We start from the raw sequence: 1,620 nt of genomic DNA, 5'->3' as shown, positions 1-1,620 counted from the left end.
TTGGCTCCCAAAACAAATTTTGGCAGCCAGTTTTTCAACTTATATTCAGGAACTAGAAACTATTGCTCCTGCAAAATTTGTTAACCCGAGAAAAGAAGCTCAGAGACATTGAAAGTGAGATATCCCACAAAGAAACTGATTCAACCTGGGCACACTGCAGAGCAGCTCACCAACAGACATGCAGTATTGATTAAATGGTACTTACAACTAGAATAAGACAGGGTGCCGCATGAATTGTATATTTTTTATTTTATAAGATGTAATTGCTGGGGTGCACTGTCCATAAAGATAAGCAGAACAGAATGGAAACTTACTTTATGCTAATGTCACACAATTATTTGATCCCTTTAATATGAAAATAAATAGGGATTCGATACCAAGTGACATTTTTGTGATCTGTCAGCTGCCAACTTTTTTACAGTCCCTTTTCATCTCCTGAAAGAAAATTGGAAGCCACTAAGTTTCTTAGTGTTTAATATCCAGTTATTAAAGTTACTCATTTCTGAACTCCTATAGCAATACTTCACACTGTTGCTCCATAGGGGACTCAGAAATATTTCTACCCAGGTAATGTGGTATATAGTAAGATTAGCACTGTACAATAGGGATGCCATTCCTTGTAAAAAATGAAAGAAACTACAAAAGGTTACACTAGCTCAGAGAGTAGTTCTCAGGAATATAAATTTTAGATACTAGTGCCATGGAAATCTAAAATCTGCAAATGGAGTCATTAAAATTATAGTTGTCCCACTGTCCTTGTAAAATCTTTCTGTACACCTAGATGGTATCTGCACAGCATTTTCAATTTGCTCATAAAGGACACCAGCATTTGGAAAATGGGCAGATGAGGAGGAACTGAGAAAGTAAAGCTAGAAGGAAAATCAGTAAAGTGCAGTCATGGAATGAAAGGTTGATGATAAAATAATGTGATGAAGAAGTCAAGTAAAACGAGGAGCGAAATGTCCCTTCCCAAGTCCCCACCTGGTGTGGTTCTCTTCCCCTGTTGGCAGCTCTCCTCTCTGCTCACTGAGCTCCAGTCCCGAATCCAAGACAACATCAGGTTCCTCATTGTCTCAGGATCTGTTCACTGGCTCAACTCCCTGCCAGGAATTATATTTCCTGGCCCTGTTCAGTCTCTCAGCTCTTTCCTGCCCAATTTGCAATCAGGCTTCAAGTCTCAGTATCACATCCCTGTGACAGCTTCCCAAACTCACATATTTGGTTACATCCTTCCATTCCGGAGTTTACCACAAATCACAATTATTGTGTGTTTATTGGTTTAACGGCACTGTCCCTTGCTGAACTTTGTAAGCTCAGTGGCTGTAGAGGCTACTATCAAACTTGGACACTGGTATATCACTAACAACTGCTGTGAAATTCCCCATTAATTCATTTTTATCATAAATATGTGATGTTAAAATTACACATATATCTATATAATATGCATATAAACATGATGACTTTTTTAAAAAGTGAACAAGTGGGTTCACTTTGCAGCCTTCAAGTGTAAGTAATAAAACATTAATCAATTAGGAAATCAAAAACATATTTGTAAAGAGTATATAGCTGACCACATTTAAATTCTCACAGAAAGGGGCAACAGCAGGTAAGAGAAAACAA

This window comes from Homo sapiens, chromosome 4 (genome assembly GCF_000001405.40).
Source record: "Homo sapiens chromosome 4, GRCh38.p14 Primary Assembly".
In the NCBI taxonomy this organism is placed as follows: domain Eukaryota; kingdom Metazoa; phylum Chordata; class Mammalia; order Primates; family Hominidae; genus Homo; species Homo sapiens.
The sequence above is the reverse complement of the archived record's forward strand: the minus strand, read 5'-3'. Positions refer to the sequence as shown.